General features: G+C 42.1%; 1 protein-coding gene across 55 annotated transcripts in view, besides 1 other annotated feature; it reads right to left on the bottom strand.

Moving 5' to 3' along the window:
• The window catches only part of MAP4K4 (mitogen-activated protein kinase kinase kinase kinase 4), a 196,984-nt gene that overhangs the window by 133,830 nt on the left and 37,897 nt on the right, over positions 1-25,257 (bottom strand). The gene's annotated exons all lie outside the window — the stretch shown is intronic.
• Positions 18,109-18,838: an enhancer, noted in NCBI's record as "NANOG-H3K27ac hESC enhancer chr2:102358485-102359214 (GRCh37/hg19 assembly coordinates)". NCBI's record gives its function as "activates a minimal SCP1, AML or CMV promoter by ChIP-STARR-seq in naive and primed H9 embryonic stem cells {active_cell/tissue: H9 hESC(naive and primed)}" and the evidence as "EXISTENCE:reporter gene assay evidence [ECO:0000049][PMID:30033119]".

The raw sequence follows: 25,257 nt of genomic DNA, 5'->3' as shown, positions 1-25,257 counted from the left end.
CAGCTAATTTAGTATTTTTAGTAGAGATGGGGCTTCTCCATGTTGGTCAGCCTGGTCGCCAACTCCCAACCTCAGGTGATCCGCCCACCTCGGCCTCCCAAAGTGGTGGGATTACAGGCGTGAGCCACTGCGCCGGGCCAACAATTTTCTTATATTATTCTAACAGAGAGTATTTTACCTCTGCCTCTCCAAACTTTATTTTTTAAATAGAAGAACATCTTATCTACTTCAAATACAAAAGTCTCAATGTGTATGGGAGCCACTTTAAGAACCAAAATAGTGTGAGAATATAAATACATATACACACACACACACACACACACACACACATATATACATATATATATATATATATATTTTGTTTTTTTTTTTTGAGATGGAGTCTTGCTGTGTTGCCAGGCTGGAGTGCAGTGGCACAATCTCAGCTCACTACAACCTCTGCCTCCCAGGTTCAAGCAATTCTCCTGCCTCAGCCTCCCAAGTAGCTGGGACTACAGGCTCACACCACCACATCTGGCTAATTTTTGTATTTTTAGTAGAGACAGGGTTTTACCATGTTGGCCAAGACGGTCTCAATCTCTTGACCTCGTGATCCTCCTGCCTTGGCCTCCTAAAGTGCTGGGATTACAGGGGTGAGCCCCCACACCCGGCCTATAAAAATATTTTGGAAACTTAAAATATTGTCTAAATCTAAAAAAAAAGAAAAAGAAAAAGCTGGCTGACACAGTGGCTCATGCCTGTGATCCCAACACTTTGGGAGGCCAAGGCCAGAAAATCACCTGAGGTCAGGAGTTCAGGACCAGCCTGGCCAACATAGTGAAACCCCATCTCTACAAAAAAATACAAAAAATTAGCCAGGTGTGGTGGCGTGCACCTGTATTCCCAGCAACTCAGGAGGCCGAGGTAGGAGAATCACTTGGGCCCAGGAGTCACAAGCTGCAGTGAGGTGAGACTGTGCCATTGCACTCCAGCCTGGCTGACAAAGTGAGACCCTGTCAAGACAGAGGAGACGGATGGAAAGGGAAAAGGGAAGGGAAGGGGGATGGGAAGGGGAGGGAAGGGAAGGGAGAAGGGAGGGGGAGAGGATGGGGGAAGGGGAGGTGGGGGAGAGAAAAGGGGGAGGGGGGAAGGGGATGGTAAAGGGGAGGGGAGAGGAATGGGGAGGGGAGGGGGAGGGGAATGGGGAGGGGGAGGGGAGGGGGGATGGGAGGGGAATGGGGAGGGGAGGGAAGGGGAATGGGGAAGGGAGGGAAGGGGAATGGGGAGGTGAATGGGGAGGGGAGAGAGGAGGGGAATGGGGAGGGGAGAGGGGAGGGGAGTGGAATGGGGAGGGGAGGGGAATGGGGAGGGGAGGGGAGAGGGGAGGAGAGGGGAGGGGAGGGGAGAGGGAAAGGGAAAGGGAAATGGCAAAGGGAAAAGAAAAGGGAAAGAAAAAGCTCATTTCACTGATGTTACAGCTCCCCTTCACAAACAAACCCTTCCTCATGGCTGGGAAATTCAGGACCGCCAACTCAGAGGAAATGCCAAGGAGATGGTGTCATGAAAGACTCCTTAAAAGAAAACAGATAAGAGCTCTTTCTAGGAGAAAAATGACCAAGGAAAGCAAAGGAAGCAAACTTTGTTCACAGAGAGAAAAGCCTAACCTAACTGAATGACCCCTTATAGTCTACTGAAACAAGAACCCCAAAACGAAATGGCAACCCTTCTTTTTTTTTTTTCTTTTTTTTTGAGATGGAGTCTTGCTCTGTCACCCAGGCTGGAGTGCAGTGACGCGATCTCGGCTCACTGCAAGCTCCGCCTCCCGGGTTTACGCCATTCTCCTGCCTCAGCCTCCCGAGTAGCTGGGACTACAGGCGCCTGCCACCACGCCCGGCTAATTTTTTGTATTTTTAGTAGAGACGCGGTTTCACCATGTTAGCCAGGATGGTCTCGATCTCCTGATCTCGTGATCCGCCTGCCTCAGCCTCCCAAAGTGCTGGGATTACAGGCGTGAGCCACCGCGCCCGGCCAGCAACCCTTCTTTATAGTGGCGAACATCCATAAGAGATCACTTTCATTTTAACTCCAAGAAAGTGTGCCACCTGGGATGTGAGTGTGATTATTTCTAATGCCTATATTCCTGACCTTTGCCAAATTTCTCATATTTTCTTTCCTTTCTTTAGACCACGTAGTTCCTCCTAAAAGGAAAGCTACGGGATCAGTCAGGGTTATGGTTATCAAAGGACACAGCTGGGAAGCCTAAATTTCATACACAGTCCTCCCTCGGTAGACTCTGGGGAATGGTTCCAAGACCCCCAAGTATAACCAAATCCGCACTTAGTCAATTCCCACAGATGCTCTGTGGAACTTGCCTATAGGAAAAACTGCTCCTCCTTATACACAGGTTTCACATCCTGCATATATTTTCAATATGCATTTGGCTGAAAAACATCCGAGTATATCTAAGTGGACCCACACAGTTCAAATCCATGTTGTTCAAAGGTGAACTATACTATACTGCCAAACAGAGAGTAACACAACGCTCACGATGTGTCCTTAAATCCTTCTGTAGCATCTCTTCTCACATAAAAAATGTAAAACAGCTACTGTAACCACAAATTTCAGATACTTTTGCTCTGTCATCTTCCAAGAATAGAGGGTTCTGTGACTATGTTCATTACTATAAGACAGACAACAGTAGTACCCCCATTACCCGAGGTTTCATTTTCCATGGTTTCAGTTATGCACAGTCAACCACAGTCTAAAAGTATTATATACAGTAAGATATTTTGAGAGAGCCCATATTCACATAACTTTTCTTACAATGTATTGTTATTGCTTTTGTTTGTTTGTTTTTTGAGATGGAGTCTCTCTTGTCACTCAGGCTGGAGTGCAGTGGTGCAATCTCGCCTCACTGCAACCTCCATCTCCCAGGTTCAAGCTATTCTTGTGCCTCAGCCTCTCAAGTAGCTGGGATTACAGGCGTGTACCACCACGCCTGTAAAAATAATTTTTTCTATTTTTAGTAGAGACGGGATTTCACCATGTTGGTCAGGTTGGTCTTGAACTCCTGGCCCCAAGCGATCCACTCGCCTCGGCCTCCCAAAGTGCTGGCATTACAGGCGTGAGCCACCACATCCAGCCTATTTTTGTATTTTATTATTAGCTTTTGTTGTTAATCTCTTACTGTGCCTAACTTACAAATTAAATTTTAGCTATGTATGTATAGGAAAACCATGGGGTTCAGTACTATCCTCAGTTTCAGGCATCCACTGGGGGTCTTGGAATGTATCCCCCGTGGATAAGGGGGGACTGTGTTATTTTTAAAATTTTATGTATCTATTGAGTCTGTATTAAGTAATCTGTCATTATTACTGTATATCTGATTTATTTTTTAAAATGTGATCTGGGTTCAGGTCTTGACTTCTACCATTTGTGAGCTACAGATTTGACTGGTTTTCTGTAGATCTAGTCTATTCACTTATAGTATTTACCAATGATTTGCTAGGAAGGTGTTCTCAAATTTTGTAGAAAAAGAGATAAATGCAGAAATACAGATTATATATGCTATTTCTAAAACCTGTAACAAGTAATCTGGAATTACTAACAGAGAATTACATAAAAGTATTAACATATCATTATTCCAAAAAGCATCTGTCAAACTATAATTATTTCAATGAGTTTCTGATGACATTGTAATTGTATAAAACAAAGTCCCAAGGCTCTTTATGCCCCAAGCCTCCCACATGAAAGACATCCCCCTCCTTCTTATCCCTTACTCCAAAGGTACACACAGATAGTTGTGAAGCCATCTCAAGAGGTGAATGAGACCTTAGAAGTCCAACAAACCCTGTACCACTGTGCTCTGCATGAAGTTAAATGAAGAATCAATAACGGTGTTAAAGATCTTTCCCAAACACAACTCCCAATAAATACTCAGGTGAAACCTTTTCATAGCAGAGTAATTTATTTATAAGTGATGGAGGTCATTTTGCTAATAAAATACCCCTGTAATGGCTTGGTGCAGCAGCTCACGCCTATAATCCTAGCACTTTGGGAGGCTGAGCCAGGCAGATCACTTGAGCCCAGGAGTTCATGACCACCCTGGACAACATGTTGAGACCCTGTTTCTACAAAAAAAAAAAAAAAAAATACAAAAATTAGCTGGGCATGGTGATGCGCGCCTGCAGTCCCAGCTACTCAGGAAGCTGAGGTGGGAGGATCACCTGAACCCAGGAGGTCCAAGCTGTAGCGAGCTGTGATCAAGCCACAGCACTCCAGCATAAGCAACAAAGTGAAGCTGTCTCAAAAATAAGAAACAACAACAGAAAAGACATACCTGTAGTAAAGATGAACCAGACCCCAGAGGACACAGGTCAGATTCCAGTCCTGTCACTAATGACCTGTATGCACCTCTGACCTTCCATAATATGTCAACAGTATTTTTCAACTACTACCGAGCAGGCACTGATAGTCCTAGCTGCAAAATAGGAAACGGGCTGGAGTAGATGGCATCTACTCAGCTTCCAGATTCCCTCTTGGCTTAATTCAATTTGTATTAGCACCCACAGTAAAATTTTGCAGGAGGGTCTGACAGCAGCACTTGGATCCTATGACTTCATTAAGATCAAGGTGTCAGCCGGGCACAGTGGCTCACGCCTGTTAATCCCAGCACTTTGGGAGGCCGAGGCAGGCGGATCACGAGGTCAGGAGATCCAGACCATCCTGGCTAGCACAGTAAAACCCCATCTCTACTAAAAATACAAAAACTAAATTAGCCAGACGTGGTGGCGGTTGCCTGCAGTCCCATCTACTCAGGAGGCTGAGGCGGGAGAATGGTGTAAACCTGGGAGGCGGAGCTTGCAGTGAGCCGACATCGCACCACTGCACTCCAGCCTGGGCGACAGGGCAAGACGCTGTCTCAAAAAAAAAAAAAAAAAAAAAAAAAAAAAGAAAAAGAACTCATACTATAAATAAAGTTTCCCCGCATGCATCAAAACACAGTAACAGCTACTATAGACAGATGTGCACCTACTAACGTCACCTAGTGAAAGAAAAGACAGGCAGTAAATACAAGTACCTGTTTGCACAAAGTACTCTGTCCAAGACAAGTCCATGTAACAAGGCAAGGGGTAGGCCTAAATCAGCTATTGATTTCGAGTTCACAACAATCTACTCTGTTAAATGGAGAAACTTAAGAGGCAGATGAGGAACAGAGGGAGAGCGGATTAATGCAAAAATAAAGAAAGAAGAAGAAAAGAGTGTGCAGCTAGCAGGGAGGAGAGAGGGACAGACAGACAGACATAAAGAGACCAAAAACTTTTCATCTGTCAGACATAAAGATGTAAGATGATACTCAGAGTATCACTTTCTGGAGTTTCTGTTCCTTCAACAGTTGTCTCAGGCCGCCCACCAATTTCAGTAAAGCTTTTTTCTTCCACAAGAGTTTCTCTTGGGGTCAGGAACTCGGGGTGGGAAATAAACAAGTATGAAAGGAGCAAGAAGACCAGCCAGCCTTTTCCTTTGCTGTATTTAAGCAGTTATTTATTCCCCAGCAGTGGTCATGTGAATTCGGACTCTGCATAACAGACAAAGGGCCTTTACTAGGAAGTCCACAAGAAAACCTTTAAGAATTTTAGCCCAGAATACAAAAATTTTTCACTCTGCTTTCAAGGGAAGAAAGAAAAAAAAAAAAGCGAGGAGGGGGCATCAAAACAACAAACTAATTTTTTTTTTAAGTATTTGACAAACACTGTCATTCTCAGTCATTAGTGATTACCAAATCTAGCAAACAAAGTGAATTCCTATAACTTTTCCTAGCTAATATAAATGAAGCAGCTGCCCATATAGACCTTAAATTATTTCTGGAGCAAGGCATAAATAAATAAAAACAAATATTTACATTTCATCATATCATGTTACTTCACCATTGTGAGACCTCATACAACTCACTGGGTTTTTGTGGCCATGACTAACAATATTCTGGACTCCTTCCTTCCCCTCATCTTCACACTTGCCTGCCTTCCATTCCAGGGCTTTCTCTCCTAACAACTCATAAAGCAAAAAAAGCCTTTCTCGCTCCAACATGGAGCTGCTGAGGACTGAGGAGTTGGCATTTCTTTTATTGACAGCCAGTAAGCCACCTTACATTCTCTGGGCATATTCCCAAGGCTGTGTTTGAATTAACTCTGCTTGATGAAAACTTACATCAACAATGCCTTCCAACTAGGCTGGACGTGGTGGCTCATGCCTGTAATCCCAGCACTTTGGGAGGCCAAGGCAGGCAGATCACCTAAGGTCATGAGTTCAAGACCAGCCTGGCCAACATATAGTGATATCCTGTCTCTACTAAAAATACAAAAATCAGCTGGGCACGGTGGTACACACCTGTAGTCCCAGCTACCTGGGAAACTGAGGCAGGAGATTTGCTTGAACTCAGGAGGTGGAGATTGCAGTGAGCTGAGATCACGCCACTGCACTCCAGCCTGGGTGACAGAGCAAGATTCCATCTCTCAAAAAAAAAAAAAAAAAAAAAAAAAACAGCAAAAAAGCTTCCCAACTCAAAGCCTCTAATATACCGTGAATAGAATGATGTCATAATCCATACCTTGAAAGTGATTTCCCAGAGTTGGCAGAATCGGGTGGCACTATGAAGACATGAAAACATACTGACTAGTAAGAGATGACCTGCAGATTATCTCTCCCCTTGAAGGCATTTCACATTCACATATAATATAAGATGCAGACAGGGCTAGATTAATATTAACTAGTGTCTAACACTGAAAAACAAAAGCAATGTCATTATTTGATTGAGCCTTTGCAGTTAACAGAAAGAAAGAAAACCAAATGCCATATTCGGCTTGTCAATCATCCCCTTCTCTTCCTTTAACTGGAAATAGCCACTACTAATAATAAAGACCCCAGGCGCTAGCTGTCCACCCTTCTGGACAAGGGCCATGGTGGGTGTTGAACTTTAGTGGTTCCTGCAAACCCCACAGAGACAGTCAACCTGAAAGAGCCATTTACACCAAGGTAGTTTAACTCTTCAAGCCACCAAAGACTGAGGTACTTTCCTAAAAGTGCATTACTGGTTAAATCCAAAACAGTCACCAAAATCCCTTGGTAGTTTCTATAATGAACACTCCTTGAGACAAACAGACTGTCTTCCAGACTAAAGCCTGGAAAGGTTTTTGCTGGGCTAAGGAAAAAAAAAAAAAACTGTATACTTGCGGACAAAAATGTCTGAAAGGTAATTCATAAAATGCTAAAAGTGGTTCCCATACTTGCTGAAATCCATATCTCACTGTGTTTCATAAATCATAGCTAGATGAGATCTTAGAATGCCACTGACTTGATTTTTCAGAGTCCAGAACCTCAACAAAAAAAGATGGATATCTACCCTATTTTGCTAAATCCTCCAGGGAATGCATTTCCACAGCCTCTTGCCTGCAAGCAGCACAATGAGAATGTTTATGTTCAAAATGCCAAAGGCACATTTCAAAAACTATTTCAAACAAAGATTTTCTTTGAAAATGCATGTTATGGGGTAGGCAAGGGAAAAGGGCAGGTGGGGAGGGTGAGCTGTAGAAACTGATTAACTCTTTAAATCAAAGGCAAATCTGGGGAGGCATTTAAGCTTGGCAAGGAAGTCAAATCACAGCTCTGCTACTTAGTAGCTCTGTACCTATACATCAGGCAAACTGCACAAATACCTCTAAGCTTCAGTTTCATCATCTAAAAAATGGAAATAAAAACAGTGCCTGCTTTATAGCATTAATTTGAGAGATTAAATGAGATATTGCATGTACAAGTATGCTCCACAACTCCTGGAGTGAATAAAACACACAATAAATGCTGGCTATTGTTACTGTCATCATTTACTGTGCAATAAACACAGAACTGGCATTGTCCTGCAGTCTGCTTTTGCCTTGAATGCCATGACTATCTGCGTGAACTGCCAATGCTCCCTACAGTCGGAGCCTGGCACCAGTAGAAACAGAAACAGGTCTCCTGAGCCTGACACGGTTTCATACACAGACGTGGACAGTGGCCAGTAGCAATAATGATGTGGAATGTGGACACGGCCAGTAAAACTCCTGGTGCAGTTTTATGGAATAAGCTTGGATTCTAACTCAGTACCTCCAATTTATGACCACAGACAGGTAAATTAACCTTGCTAAGCCTTCGGTTTTTTCTTCAGCTAAATGGGAATAGCATTACCTCAAATTCATCCTCATAGGTGAAAGCACTAGCACAGTGCCCAGCTGAGTGCACCATCAATGTCATCCTCTTTCTTTCCCTCCTTTACCCTGGAACTTCCCAGTACTATGTGACTTCTGGTACACAGGGTGAGCTTAGCTATGATTGGCAGAAAATAGGCTAGGCACTATATGAATAAGGATATGAGAAAATGCAGATGGATATAAGCAGTGGCATTTTCTCCTGAGCTAAGAATGAACCAATTCTATTGAGATAATGCCACCCTTCATACAAGAATATGAACTGCTGAGAAACTAAGCACTCCGTAAGAGACAAGCTGGTGCACTGTGAATACAACCTGAGGAATTTAAAACTGTATGACCAAGTGTGATTCCCATGCTACTTTATTTTCATCAACTTTCAAGAAATCTTTCATTCACTACCTTGTTGTGACTTCATTTACCCTTGGGCATGTTATAAAAGTTTCCATTTCAATATAAAATTAGTTTTAATCCACTTTACAACCCTGGAAAAACAGGGAGGTTCAGAAGAAAAAGATAACAAAAAACAAATAGGGAACTGAAACACCGTTAAGCTTTGGAAAGCACTGCTCTCCCCCACCAGCCCCAGAGGACGTTCACATGGCTCACCCTACAAACACAGAGGTCACCTGCTCTATGAGGATCAGAATGCTCAAAACCAAAATGTAAAACATTGATAAGGAAACAGTAGAATGACAGCTGACACCTCCCCATGAATGATGAACACTGTGCTGGCTCCTTTGGGACCAAACTGAAACAAAACAGTATAAAAGAAAGCAATGCCAGTGTATACGTAAATGGGACACACTGTCCAGACCACAGCGAAGATTCATACCTTGAAGGCAGATAGAATGCCCAGTCTACCCTACCTACAGGTGTCTGTAGTCGAGCCCCTACCAACTCACCTGGTTTTAAATGAAAGCCAGTTTAGTTTCAGCACCTCCTAACAGTTCCTTAACTTACATGTCATGTAACCACTGATTTAGGAGTTGTCTGCTTAATGCCTGTCTTCTCTCTCTGCTCCATGAGGTCAGGCAGAGGCCATGCATTTCTTTCCATTTTAAATACATGGAAACAGCAGTGCCTAGTATTCAGTATGTACCCAATAATGTGCTGAATGAAGAAAGGCACCTTAAAGTTTCACCCCCTCTGGCCTTTTGTCTGAGTCCCATTTTACAGATGAGACATTGAGACTCCAGGGGTTAAGCTATTGTGTTCCCAACCACAAGCTGGGACTTGAAAGCAGCACTGGGAAGCAGGAGAGGATCAGTCTCATGGCAGAGTATTCTGCCTCTCTGTTGTATAAAAGTAAAAGGGGAGGAGAAAGATCATTTCTACAAAGGCGGTATCCTAGTGAATATGTTCCACCGAACGTTTACCAGTTTCTTCAGTGTGTTTTCTCCTTTCCTTTTAGTTAACTTCATGCTTCTTCACCTGATAAGAATGTGTGTATGTACAACTGTTGAACACTGAATTCTTTACAAAAATGCCAATGCATAGCTGAAAAGCTGTTATTAAAACCCCATCATACTTTCCAACACACCAACAGAGGGATGGAAGCGGCACATACACCCCCCAACGAAACAAGAAAGGTTACGTCCCTTCCCAGTGGCAGGTATCAGTGTTGTGCCCAGGCTGTGGAGCCTGGACTGGTCCCCAAATTCAAAACAGAAGGAAGTGAAAAGATAAAAAGGTAGAGGACTTACAGCAGAAGCAAACATTATCTGAATACACAATCTTGATGACCCCCCATTCCTCTGTGAGATCATCCTGCTGATCCTAGGTATGTCTCTTTGTTCCTTCTTTTTTTTTTTTTTAGACAGGGTCTTACTCTGTCACCCAGGCTGGAGTGCAAGTGGTGCAATCTTGGCTCATTACAACCTCCACCTCCCAGGCTCAGGCAATTCTCCCATCTCAGCCTCCTGAGTAGCTAGGATTACAGGCCTGCACCACCACGCCTGGCTAACTTTTTTTTTTTATATATATACTTTAAGTTTTAGGGTACATGTGCACATTGTGCAGGTTAGTTACATATGTATACATGTTCCATGTTGGTGCGCTGCACCCACTAACTCGTCATCTAGCATTAGGTATATCTCCCAATGCTATCCCTCCCCCCTCCCCCAACCCCACCACAGTCCCCAGAGTGTGATAGTCCCCTTCCTGTGTCCATGTGATCTCATTGTTCTATTCCCACCTATGAGTGAGAATATGCGGTGTTTGGTTTTTTGTTCTTGCGATAGTTTACTGAGAATGATGATTTCCAATTTCATCCATGTCCCTACAAAGGACATGAACTCATCATTTTTTATGGCTGCATAGTATTCCATGGTGTATATGTGCCACATTTTCTTAATCCAGTCTATCATTGTTGGACATTTGGGTTGGTTCCAAGTCTTTGCTATTGTGAATAATGCCGCAATAAACATATGTGTGCATGTGTCTTTATAGCAGCATGATTTATAGTCCATTGGGTATATACCCAGTAATGGGATGGCTGGGTCAAATGGTATTTCTAGTTCTAGATCCCTGAGGAATCGCCACACTGACTTCCACAATGGTTGAACTAATTTACAGTCCCACCAACAGTGTAAAAGTGTTCCTATTTCTCCACATCCTCTCCAGCACCTGTTGTTTCCAGACTTTTTAATGATTGCCATTCTAACTGGTGTGAGATGGTATCTCATTGTGGTTTTGATTTGCATTTCTCTGATGGCCAGTGATGATGAGCATTTTTCATTTGTTTTTTGGCTGCATAAATGTCCTCTTTTGAGAAGTGTCTGTTCATGTCCTTCGCCCACTTTTTGATGGGGTTGTTTGTTTTTTTCTTGTAAATTTGTTTGAGTTCATTGTAGATTCTGGATATTAGCCCTTTGTCAGATGAGTAGGTTGCGAAAATTTTCTCCCATTTTGTAGGTTGCCTGTTCACTCTGATAGTAGTTTCTTTTGCTGTGCAGAAGCTCTTTAGTTTAATTAGATCCCATTTGTCAATTTTGGCTTTTGTTGCCATTGCTTTTGGTGTTTTAGACATGAAGTCCTTGCCCATGCCTATGTCCTGAATGGTAATGCCTAGGTTTTCTTCTAGGGTTTTTATGGTTTTAGGTCTAACGTTTAAGTCTTTAATCCATCTTGAATTGATTTTTGTGTAAGGTGTAAGGAAGGGATCCAGTTTCAGCTTTCTACATATGGCTAGCCAGTTTTCCCAGCACCATTTATTAAATAGGGAATCCTTTCCCCATTGCTTGTTTTTCTCAGGTTTGTCAAAGATCAGATGGTTGTAGATATGCAGCGTTATTTCTGAGGGCTCTGTTCTGTTCCATTGATCTATATCTCTGTTTTGGTACCAGTACCATGCTGTTTTGGTTACTGTAGCCTTGTAGTACAGTTTGAAGTCAGGTAGCGTGATGCCTCCAGCTTTGTTCTTTTGGCTTAGGATTGACTTGGCAATGCAGGCTCTTTTTTGGTTCCATATGAACTTTAAAGTAGTTTTTTCCAATTCTGTGAAGAAAGGCATTGGTAGCTTGATGGGGATGGCATTGAATCTGTAAATTACCTTGGGCAGTATGGCCATTTTCATGATATTGATTCTTCCTACCCATGAGCATGGAATGTTCTTCCATTTGTTTGTATCCTCTTTTATTTCCTTGAGCAGTGGTTTGTAGTTCTCCTTGAAGAGGTCCTTCACATCCCTTGTAAGTTGGATTCCTAGGTATTTTATTCTCTTTGAAGCAATTGTGAATGGGAGTTCACTCATGATTTGGCTCTCTGTTTGTCTGTTGTTGGTGTATAAGAATGCTTGTGATTTTTGTACATTGATTTTGTATCCTGAGACTTTGCTGAAGTTGCTTATCAGCTTAAGGAGATTTTGGGCTGAGACAACGGGGTTTTCTAGATATACAATCATGTCATCTGCAAACAGGGACAATTTGACTTCCTCTTTTCCTAACTGAATACCCTTTATTTCCTTCTCTTGTCCTAGCTAACTTTTGTATTTTTGTAGAGATGGGGTTTTGCCATGTCACTCACGCTAGTCTCGAACTCCTGGGCTCAAGAGATCCATCCACCTCAGCCTCCCAAAGTGCTGGGATTACAGATGACAGACAACGCACCTGGCCTCATTCCTTATTTCTGAAAGCAGTCTTGTTGTATTCCAAATTCAGAGTCAAGAAATGGGAAATAGAAATTACATGGACGCATGAAAGTTCTTCAATAAATTTGTCATCTGACAGAAAATCCTGCTTTCCCAAAGCAGAACAGTAGAAGCTGTTGTTTTGTTTTGTTTTCTTGCTTTTAAAAGGCAAATACCAGAAGCATTTGTTACTTCCATATACACAGAGGCACATACCCACACACACTTTTTTGAAGATGTGCAAATGGAAATCTATTTAGGGTGCTTCCTTGCTTAATCAGCTTCACTCGGTAAACTTTAGACTATTCTTCAGAAGCCAAAAAGCAAGGTACAGTATTTACAAACAGAGCCAGCCAACATTCTCTCAAAAATTCTATGAAATACTAACATGCTGTTTTACACCAGAGACTGGAGTTGTGGCTACTCCTCTGAATAAGAGGATATAGAAAACAGACTACAATGTATACAACTGATATAGCACATCAATGTGCTACAGACATTAAAAGTCATTTTGCTTATCAGAAAAAAAGAGCTCGACCCTTCACTTTTGATGGTGACATTCATCACGACACCAGTTCCTCAAGCACCTACAGAGCATTTCTTCACTGGAAGCAGAAGAGGTGCCAAAAAGTATAAGCAGTTTACCTCCTTAGTATTTCCATTCATTTTCAAAGGCTGCTGTAAAGATTAACCAAGCCTATTTCTTGGACCAAACTAGACATAGTATTAAAATGATATTTGGGATCTGTTTTGTTTGTTTGCTGGTTAATTTTTTCCTCAGAGAGCTTTTCTAATCTCTATCCAAAGCTAAGAAGGGGGGGCAGGGAAAAAAACCTTGGAAGGAAAAAGAGATAAATAAGGCTGTTGGGACATGACATCCAATCTTCTGTCCCCACTGAGCTGTTTTAATTTGTGGTCACTTGCAGTGCAGATCTTCTCTAATTAGAAGGTGGGAATATCTGTTCCTTTAAAGCAGTCTTTAATTACTCCACCCTTGAAAATTCCTACCCCTGCTATGGGGACCAGATACATCACTCTCCCCTTCCCAAACCTAAAAGAAATATACACCATTCTTGACTAAGAATACGGACACAAGGCCGGGCATGGTGACTCACGCATGTAATCCCAGCACTTTGGAGGCCTAGGCGGGCCTACCACCTGAGGTCAGGAGTTCAACACCAGCCTGGCCAACATGGTGAAACCCCGTCTCTATTAAAAATACAAAAATTAGCCGGGCCTGGTATCAGGTGCCTATAATCCCAGCCACTCAAGAGGCTGAGGCAGGAGGATCGCATGAACCCAGGAGGCGGAGGTTGCGCTGAGCCAAAATCGCACCACTGCACTCCAGCCTGGGCAACAGAGTGAGACTCCATCTCAAAAAACAAAACAAACAAAAAAAAAGAATATGGACACAAAAGCAGTCACAGGAGAAGCCCTTAGATGTCTCTCCTGGTCTTGTCCTAAACTCTCATAGTCCACTCTACCCTCAGGATGTCAGGATGCCAACCTCAACCTGCATCTGAGCGAAAGAGTAGGGGGACACAAGGGCAAAATGTTTTGTCTACCTAAGGCAGTTATTAAGAACCCTACCAGTAAAACTTGGGTTCCTCAATATTCTATATGTTTAAGCAACAATATACACTGGGCTAGAAATCACAGGTTTCTATAAAGAACTTGTTGAGGGAAGGGGCGGCGAAGACAAAACCTACCTACCTAAGTCAAGGGAGGAAAAAAAAACAAACTTAAGGAAACAGCTCCACATTTGGCCTAAAAATCTTTTTTCCCAAAGGGCTTTTCTCAGAAGCGAAATGTAATTTAGTTTTAACGTGAGCTTAAAATCTCCTTAAATCAATATTTACAGTTAAACACACAGTCCAAAAATGTGCAAGATCCCAAAGACAACATTTTTATAGCAAGGTCTCATTCTACAATAAGAAAAGTAATCCCACAAAATTAAAATGCTAGAGGACAACATGGAGAGTCAGCTTCCTGTCTGTGACTCAGCTGTGAGAGGTAGTCAGTTCTCCTGAATATAATATGTATTACCATGGCAGAACAACAAATCCAAATCCAGCACAAAAAAAGCCATTTATTAAACTTACAAAACATGAAAAAATTAAGTTTCTCAGTAACAGGTGCCCTAAGCCAATAAAAACCATGTTTATTCACCATACCAAAATTTAAAAATCAGTATATACTTACATTAAAAAAAAAAAAAAAAATCAGGGCCAGGCACAGTGGCTCACACTTGCAATCACAGTGCTTTGGGAGGCTAAGACTGAGGATCACTTGAGCCCAGGAGTTGAAGACCAGCTTGGGCAACACAACAAGAGCGTGTCTCTACTAAAAGTAAAAATTAGCTGGGTGTGGTGGTATGCACCTGCGGTCCCAACTACCCAGGAGGGTGAAGTGGGAGATCACTTGAGCCCTGGAGTTCAAGGCTGCAGTGAGTTATGATCACATCACTGTATTCCAGCTTGTGTGACAAAGTGAAACTTATTTAAAACACACACACACACACACACACACACACACACACAAAGGAAACAGGATTTCAAATAATTTGATCTGAGTGTAGACTGACAGATATCAACCACGGCAGAGAACCAAATGGGGGCCAATACAAGTAAGAAGCTCAGTAGCAGACTCACTCAAAGGAAAAAAAAAAAAAAGTAGGCAACAAACTTTGTAAGGGGTTTATTTACATTCTAGGGCAGTGTTTTACAAGCTAGTGGATCCAGAAATAATTTAGTAATGCACAACCAGACAAGCAGTTTTAACCACATCTTTAAACCCTGATATTCAGCTAGGCACTTAACGGCTTATGGATGGCTGTTTGCATACATTCTATGCTAATAAATAGAAGGCGCTTCAGACTCAATGCTCTAAATGGGCCCCCAAAAGTGTGCAGGTAAGTATGACCGTGGCATTTCAAATTTGGACATATCAGAGTTACACATACAATAAGAAAAAGCTTAGAACTCATGGCCCAAAGGTAGCTATATAAAATATAGAAATTTAGGACTTATAATCAGAAGATGTAGATTCTAATACTTTTTTTTTTTTTTTTTTTTACCTGGGGGCAAATCTTGAATTGTATGTAGGAAATCACCAGAGACCAGACACTATGCTTAAACAGTATTATTTGGGAGGAGGGAGGACAGCAGTATTGGGGGGGGGGGGGTGATATTTTCACTTTTTTCCATATTTCTGATTCAATTTATTTTATAATATGAAATTTTACAGAAGAAAGCTTGTGAAAATTAATCTAGAACCACACACCTTTATGGCTACATATGCTCTATTTCACCTTTGAAAAAGATGCAAATAAACCAAAGAAACACACCATCAAATACACCAAAGAAACACACCATCAAATACTTGTCAAAAAATCAAGTCCCAACGTCATCATTCTATCTATATTCAGCTTTTGATCTCACACTTTTAAATCTGCTACACTAGCTACTCATCCAGTAAGTGAAGCAGCATACTAAAAAGGTGATGCTGCACCATCAACAAAGTGAAATTAAAATTTCCACCCCATATAGATGACAAAAGTACCTTCAACACTTAGAACTCTTCCCACCATGAAAGTTACTAAACTCCTGGTGCTTAAAGAGTTGCTCTCTGAGAAACTCTGGCTATTCAGAATAACTCATTTCCAGCCTTTATTAAATAACAGAGGCTTTAAAGGTTTGGAACTATAGGCTAGCTACATTTTGTTTTAAGCCACTCAATTTTGTTCTTAGGATGAACAGATCAGCAAAGAACAGTTGGCCAGAAAATGCCTTCTGCACCCCTGGTGTCTTCAAGCGAGGGAAGAGGCTGGCAGGTCTCTTGGAGAGAAGGTAAAGCCCAACTCGCCTAGGACCTGCCAGTGAGGTACGCTGGCCCCATCCACTCCTCACACACCCCCCAACCCAAGGAGAAGACCACAGACTGGCTCAGGCCTCTCTTGTGCTGGTCAAAAGGTAGGCTCTACAAATCTAACATCTAGAATTCAGTAACCAGAAAAAAAGAAAACTAAAGTTCATTAAGTAGTAAAAAGAGCAAGCAATGTCTCTTAATCTGCTCTGTCGGACTTCGAGAGCCATTAAGCCACATGTGGCTAGTGGGCACTTGGACAATGATGGGTCTCAACTGAGATGTGCTGTAAACGTATACTACACACTGCATTTCAACAAAGAATGTAAATTGCCTAATTAATGTATTTGTTAAATGATGTGTTGAAGTGATAGCAGTATGGCTAAAATAGGTTAAATAAAATCTACTCTTAAAATTAATTTCGCCTCTCTTTTTAGGTTTTTATGCATACACTGGAAAAGTCTCTCTGTGGCTCACGTCAGTTCTAGTGGGCAGTGCTGCTCTGGAGGCTTGAAGACTTCCCTGACATTTTGTTTTACAAGCCTAAGACAAGTTTCACGCTAATCTTCCACTCAGTCTTTAACAGCCAGATTCCTCATCGCCATAGAGAGTAAAGAGAGGTGCTAGAAACAACTTAAGAAAACAGGCAGTCCTACCTTTATCACATTTTTCTTCTTGAAAGTATTATCTGGGCTGGGCATGGTGGCTCACACCTGTAATCACAGCACTTTGGGAGACCAAGGAGGGCGGATCACCTGAGGTCAGGAGTTTGAGACCAGCCTGGCCAACAAGGTGAAACTCTGTCTCTACTACAAATACAAAAATTAGCCAGGTGTGGTGGTGCGTGGCTGTAGTCCCAGCTATTCAGGAGGCTGAGGCAGGAGAATTGCTTGAACCTGGAAGGAAGAGGTTGCAGTGACCTAAGATCATGCCACTGCACTCCAGCCTGGGTGACAGAGCAAGACTCCATCTCAAAAAAGAAAAAAAGAAAGTGTTATCTGCTCCTGGGAGTGGTTTAAAATGTAGAGGTATTTTCCCCCTAGTAAACATGTTATCATGTCTGAAGTGGGGAGGGCAGAATGGAAATAAAGGACAACAGCATCCTGTCAGTGAAAGGCAAGTGCCCATGAAAAGCTCAACAAGGCCCTGTCACATGAATAGGGAACAGACAACACACTAACTGAAAAGGATGGCTGTTACTGACAGTCAGGGCCTTAACAAACACTGGATCCAAAAATGAACGGTCAAATCAACGCTCTTCCTTATTATTGAGTCTAGGGTCACAGTTCTGTTACAGAGAACTCTGTCGTTTTGTTACTTTCACTGTGTTAGAAATATTGCTTACCAAATGTAAACCCCCCAAAAAAGCCAAAAAACAAGGCAAAAGAGCATTAATCAACATCTATCTGCTCATGCTCAGGTCAGATAGACGGAAGCATCTGAGTTGCCCTGAAAATTAAGGCAGCCACCTTGCCACACTCCCCAAGGTATGTTAACATGTGGTTAACCTACCTTCTGCTCACACATCCCTAACAATCTTTCATGGGGAAAACTGAGTTCATCTTGCTCCAGTCTCACCAGTCTTCCCAAGCAGAAAACTTGAAGACAAGTTAGAACTGAATATAAACAGATTTATAATTTTAGTAATTTATTTAAAGTAAATAAAACCTCTTTCAAAAAGAGCAGGACGTGGGCCTGATAAAAAGCCTCTCCCTTTAGAATTTAAAATCTGAAAAGCCATGGGTTTGCTCTTTCAGACTTCTAAACTATAACTGACATGCTTAGGCAGAAAGGTAGAGCTAGTTATTGCTACTCTATTTATGGAGATATTAATAACTCATTACTCTTCTTTCTCCCATTCCAGGAAATACAGTTAGGAGTAATATGTCATCCTAAGTAGTCAATATTCTCTCTCCTTTACCTGCTTGACCCTGCAATGAAACTACTGCAGAAAGAAGGCTTGTGAGCAAGACCTCCAGCTGAAAAACAATCAGGGAGAGGACTTTTTCCATAAAAAGAAAGTGGGGCCAGAGGAAGTGGGAAAGCAGTGCTAGCTTTAGTCCTCACTCATTTTACTCAAGCCGAAGTTAACACTGTGTTACAGGGGCTTCACTCTCTGGCACACATTTATTGTAAACATCCTAGAGGGAGAAGTCAGGCAGGCAAAAAGAGGCTGAGAGAGAAGCAAGCTAAGGGCGGGCACACAGGCAGCGTGGCTCAGGAAGCCAAGGAGCAGGAAAGAGGCAATTTATTCTAAAGGCTTAAGGAAAACAGCGCCAGTCCTAAGAGGCCACTGAAGACAAAAGACACACCGTAGGTTACCAATGAGCTTTCAGTACAGCTTTGCTGCCTCCTCAGTCTGCCTAAAGAAATCAAGGTCAGAACCTGCCTGTACCTGCCTGGGAAGCCTCCAAAGGAAATTTCAGCGCTCAGATTCTCTCCTGGACAGCACTCTGCCTCCTGAGTCAGGCTGAGCCCAACCCAAGAGTGCGGGACTCTGAAGGGTCCTCTGCAATTCTTCCTCCAGCCCAGATGACCCACTAGAGCCCAGGGACCCTGGAACCAGGTCACACAGCCCTCCTGTGCTCTTGACAACAGCTTCTTCACAACCAAAGAGATACAAAGGGTGTGCTCTTCACTTAGACCCCTCACTAAACCATCTACAAACACACACTCACCTTTCAGCCGCACTATCTAGCACAGCAGCGTGGCATTCCTAAGAGCACCCAGCCTGAAGTGAAACACTTGGCATGTACTATTTAGTTCTCACAACCCCGTGTAACCAATTTTTCAATTTTTTTTATTTTTCAAATAAGTACACTGAGAATCAGAAAAATAACTTTCACAAAGGCCCATAGCTGGTAAATGCTAGAAAAGGGACTCAAACCCAGGGCCTGCTGGCCCAAAGCCTATGTTTTAAAAACTAAACCAGTCGTCCTCAAAGTTTTTAGCCTCAGGACTTTTTTGCACTCATGAAAATTGAAAACTTCAAATAACTTTATGTTTAGCTGGATTATATCAATATTTACCACATTAGAAATTAAAACTGAAAGATTAAGGTTGGGGGCTGGAGCGGGGGTGGGTAGAGTAAAATGTCCTTGATCTAATTTAGCAAGTGGGCAGGGAACTCCTCTTCATTAACATGGAGTCTGCGATATCCTTAAGAAAAACACCTACTACTGGCCGGGTGCGGTGGTTCACGCCTGTAATCCCAGCACTTTGGGAGGCTGAGGCAGGCAGATCACGAGGTCAGGAGATTGAGACCATCCTGGCTAACACGGTGAAACCCCGTCTCTACTAAAAATACAAAAAAATTAGCCAGGCATGGTGGCGGGCGCCTGTAGTCCCAGCTACTCGGGAGGCTGAGGCAGGAGAATGGCGTGAACCCAGGAGGCGGAGCTTGCAGTGAGCCAAGATCACGCCACTGCACTCCAGCCTGGGCAACAGAGCGAGACTCTGTCTCAAAAAAAAAAAAAAAAAAAAATACCTACTACCCTCCACACTTCCCCATGTACAGCAAAAGAGGGTCAAAATTTCAAAGTTTATAATACAGTAGTGCTCCAAGAGTCCTCAAGCATCAAAGTTGAATTTGATTCTCAGATCCACTTTTTAACTCTTTATGGCTTTAAGTGATAAATAACCTCTCTAAACCTCAGTCTCATCATTTGTAGCAATGAGAGTAACAACTAATGGAGGTATTTTAAGGGTAAACAGTTCAGGGTCTGGCTCATACACATTCAAATGCTGACTGTAATCACTGTTACTATTGTTAGCTACAGAAAAGGAGAGGACTAAGGAGAGAATTTTGCACTTCCACAAAATTTAGCAAGGTTTTCTCAACAGACATGTTTCCTTCCCTTACTCTAAAAATAAGGTTTTTTTTTCAAAGCGAATAAGGGAAGGTCTTTGCTTATGCTGACAGTGCAAACTGAGACAACTAAACCCTATCTTCAAATATTTATTTTCCCCCTTGAAAGTCAACATTGCTTTCTGTCTTCTCAGCAAGCTTGAAAAGAACAGTTACTGCAGACATCAAGGTCAAAAAGCATGGCTTCAAGTTTTTATTCTACTGGAAACAGCAAATGACCTTATTAGTGTAGGATTCCAGATTTATATAATAAATTAGAGGCACAATACAGCAATGCAGGCTTTAAATTATGATGATTGAGGGGAAAATATCAAGATGATATAAAGCGGCCGGGCGCGGTGGCTCACGCCTGTAATCCCAGCACTTTGGGAGGCCGAGGCGGGCGGATCACGAGGTCAGGAGATCGAGACCATCCCGGCTAAAAACGGTGAAACCCCGTCTCTACTAAAAATACAAAAAATTAGCCGGGCGTAGTGGCGGGCGCCTGTAGTCCCAGCTACTTGGGAGGCTGAGGCAGGAGAATAGCGTGAACCCGGGAGGCGGAGCTTGCAGTGAGCCGAGATCCCGCCACTGCACTCCAGCCTGGGCGACAGAGCGAGACTCCGTCTCAAAAAAAAAAAAAAAAAAAAGATGATATAAAGCAACTTTGAAGCCAAGAAAGCGACAGATGTTGTGTTGAAGGTTCAGTAGTACTTTCCATCCTCCCAGGATACTCAACATCTGCATCCCTGGGGCCTATGACCTGTGGTCAACATGTCCAAAAGCAAACGTGTCAACAATTCTCCATCACCCTTCCTCCCTTTAGTGTAAAATAATGGACCTCCCCAAAGCATAGGAAGGGCCAGAATCTCAGACATAAGGTGAGATGAGAGAGTGACTGCCCTACTAACAAAAGATTTATAAAGTCCGTCTCATTTATAGGTTAACAGACAGAAGCCATTCTGATGGTCCCAAGGTTGGTTCTCTTAATACCTCTATAGCTGACTACTCAAATAATGTTGGCTGAACAAAGAGGTAATTAACAACTCTAATCCAAGTGAATTCTAAATTCATTTCTGGAGTTGAATTTAAAGATTCACTGGAAATTCTTCTATCTACCAGTTGTAAAGGAAACAAGTTTTCAGAGTTAAGGATAGGGGTTTTTTAATTCTTTATTTAGTCAATAGAATTCAAAAAGTAAATATATCCAATAAGCCCTAGTTCAATAAGGCACTAAGCACTCAGATTTTTCTGAGAAGGTAGCTGACAACCTCCAGAGAACTTAAATTACAACCACTAAAAACCCATAGCACAGCACACCAAGTATTACAGAGGTAATGCTCTGCCTGTATTTCTTAAATTGTAAGAAAAGTAAATAGAAGCTTTAGAATTAAATGATATTTTAGGGAAAAAAAAGACTTTAGGACTCCTATCCATGAAGAAAATAAATGTTTCCATTTATACACTAAGATGACTTCATAAATGTTTTTACTTTTGGGTCATCCATGCTGTAACCTGAAGGCAACAGAAGTAACACCTTTGGGAACTACTGTCCACATTTAAAGATTTGTTTTCTGAACATCAGATGTGTGCAAGAAAGAAAAGCACTGTGTTGACTGCCAGATTTATTTGAGTCAACTGCAAAGACGCTTGTGGACTAAGCAGGTTCGCCTCCTATCCTGCCTACCATGCCCTGTACTATTCGTAAGTCACAGATTCTACCTTCTAGATATTATGTGTAACAGTAGACAACCATGCTAAAAAGAATAAAACGAATGCCTTACCAGAGGTACCAAGGAATAATGACGGCCAGCAGTAACTGTATTCACTGCACCATTATATATGTGTCACTTTATGAATGCTGTTTCATTTAATCCTCACAACCACCTCATGAAATAGGACTATTACAATCAACCCTAATTTGAAACTACAAAAATGGGTTCTTGGGTTCAGTCTCTTTCCCAAGGTCACCAACAATATGGTGGCAGCCAGGCAGACAGTGATCTTTCCACCACTGTACTTCCCTTAAACTGCATAAGCACAAGGACAGGAACCCAGAAAGCAAGCAGAGGGCAAGAAAAGAAAAGAGTGGTCATCAGATCTTCAAGGAAGCAACACCTGAGTCAAGGTCCTTACAGCAATCCAAAGCATAGGAGAATAGTGAGAGAATAAGACAGGTGCAAGATGTCTTTAAAAAATCACTGGGCCAAAAAAAACCTTCTGCAGATCACTATTCTATTTCTTTCACTCTACAAGTCGATTTCTTTCACTCTACAAATCGACTCCCAAAGGCAGTAACTATCAATTCTGTTCAACCCAAACTGACTTCAACTGCCCCATATTAAAAAAATTTAAAAAGGCATCCTACTGCTTTTTTTAAAAATCTGCATGTAAGTTACTTCTAGTATTGACTGAAGGCCTTTCTTTCTCAACATATCCTGCCTAAAACTGTTTTACCCCTCAGGTTGGCCCTAATGTTCATTAAGAATCCAAGTCAGTTTCTGATCAGAAGCTGTTTACCTAACTTCTTTTGTTCAATGGACTAAGACAGAAATCATATATGGTACTCTTTGGTGTTGGAAATATCCCAGTCTTTACCTAGGAATGTATTTTTGTGACTTCAGAGAAGAAAAAAAAGTACAAGGGGCTTTCTCTTCTTGGGGATGTAGCGGGTGACTTTTAAGACAGTTTCTCCCTGTCCAACCAGGATGAGAAAGCACTGGAGGCAACATGGTCCAGAAATAGGTCCTGAGTCAATCTTGGATTCAAGCACAGCCCTGCCACCTACAAGCCATATGATGCTAGCATGTTAGGTAACCTCTCCGAATCTCAAAATACTTCCAGAGCCTGCCACAGAACAGAGGATCAATAAATATTAATTCATGGCATTCCTCACCATTTCCATTCATTCCTGGCCAACTTTTAAAAAGTGTGGTGAGAAAGTTAAAGGTGACAGGAGCCTAAGTGAGGGAGAAAGAGGGGGGAGAGAGTAGAGAGAAAAGGCAGAATCTGGACCCTGAATGATAATGAGTAACCAGAAATTGACAGGGTTTTTTTCCTTTTCAAACTTTATTTCATCTGAGTCACCTGTTCCAGACATAGAATCCCAGCCTTGAGCAATTCAAAAGGAGTGGCAGAGAATGGAAAGGGAACAGATTATCTTGAATGTGTGCATTCATCAGCATGGTTAATAAAACACTAAGCAGCCCTACCTCCAGACCTACTCCAGGCCTGTCTCTTTTCCTGATATTAATACGTAACATTTCCCAATCTCACACTCTGATCCATCAAATGAGACAACAATGACTAACAGCAAAAAAAAAAAAAAAAAAAAAAAAAATATATATATATATATATATATATATATATATATATCTCACAATAGGTAAATCCTAACTGACAAGTAATCTGGAGCAATACTGTGCATTCCCTAAGTTCTTTGGAACCATGTAATCAGCACAATTTAATCAAAAAATTAAAAAGTGGGCACAAGCCTCATCACCAAAATAAGGGTGGCAGCTTGTTAGAGCTGCAGAAAACCCACAGCTCTGGCCCCATTTTCAGGTCTCCCAGAAACCACACACCCACTCACCATCTCTGACCAACAGAAGTACATACACACCTGACTGATTTTAAAAAGCACTAAGTGTCAGAATGGCAGCTCTCCCAGGTGACAAATAATTTCAAAAGATTAAATTTTACTAGAAGGTTTATCATCTGTGTTTCATGGTTTTGTCATAATGACTAACTTTTCATAATCAAAACTCCGATTGCCCAATAGCCCCTTTTTCCTGTACATGGACAGCTCATAACAGAGCAAGTATGTAATACTGTGATAGTACAAATGAGTTGTCAAAGAGAGAAAGGAAGGAATGAGGGAGGAAGGAGATTGATGAACACTTGTGCTGCCAGGGCTTTAACTGCTTTAAATTTAATAGACAACTGTCTAAACTGTTCTTTCAGTCAACAAACCGTTATTAAGTATCCACCAGGTACCAAGTGTCAGGAGCACTAACTCTGCAACCCAGAACTTACATTCTGGCAGGAAGAATCAACAATTACTCACAAGCAGTGAGGGGTGTTACAAAGTTAGAACAGGGTCCTAAAGGGCACACTGCAAAGGGGCTTACTTGTACAGGACAATCAGAAAAAAATATACTGAATATAACATTTTTGAATGACAGAGGGTCAGCAATAGAACGAGTTATTATACTCAAAACACATAAGGATCAGCTACATGCCAGGCACTGCTGCAATAAGCAAGTGATCCCTCTCCATTACTAACCAAAGATGGCACAAACAAATGTAAAAACACAACTGTGCCAAGTGCTATGACAGCAAGAGACACAGTGCTAAAAATGCCTGTATTCATGACCAGGACCCAGCTGGGTAAGGCAGAGAGAGGCATACAGAAGTGCCTGGCAGGCAGGAGATGGGCAAGAAGCAGGGGATGGCAGAGGCCAGTGTGGCAGCAACAAGGAAATAAGGAGGGCCACGCATTAGGTGGGCCTAGAGTCGCATTAAAGAGCTTGGTCTTTATACTGTCAGCAATGGGCAACCACTGAAGGAAGGGAACTGTTGGACAGATCGAACTGATTTGGACAGCTGAAAGTTAGGGAGCAGATCAGATGTAGGGGCCAGTTAGGATGGAGGTTATCACAGGGGACTGTGTAAAAACAAGTGGGAAGCAATTCTGACTGCAGCAGCAGCTCCAGCAGCTCTGCAATTTTTAACATTCAAAATATTTGATGTGAATTTGCTTCTGGTGGAATAAAACACCTGTAACTAGTAGGCATCTGGAAAGTTTAACAGGGAAAACACCATCAGTAAATAGAAGGCTGTAGGAAACAGACTTCTTCCCTGTGGAAAAGTATCACTCACATCATTCATCCTGAGAGTATCTGTCAGCAACCATTCAAAGCCATTCTGAGACTTCTGCGTCCCCATCACAATTTGACCTGTCAGCCAGAACTCATTTATACCCTTCTATCTACTTCCATTTCTATTTTCTTTTCTAGCTCCTAATCCAACAACATCCAAACTGGTCTCCTTGACTCAATCATATTCTGTTCCATGGGACCCACCCTACTATTACTGGAGTGGTCTCCCTCTTCTGCTTCAAATTCTTCATCCTGAGGCTTCAGATTGAAGCCTGAATTCCTTGGTTTGACAAAGACGGCCTCCCATGGGCAGGCCCC

The sequence above is a fragment of the Homo sapiens genome, chromosome 2 (genome assembly GCF_000001405.40).
Source record: "Homo sapiens chromosome 2, GRCh38.p14 Primary Assembly".
NCBI classification, from domain to species: Eukaryota; Metazoa; Chordata; class Mammalia; order Primates; family Hominidae; genus Homo; species Homo sapiens.
This window is presented reverse-complemented; position numbering and strand designations above follow the sequence as displayed.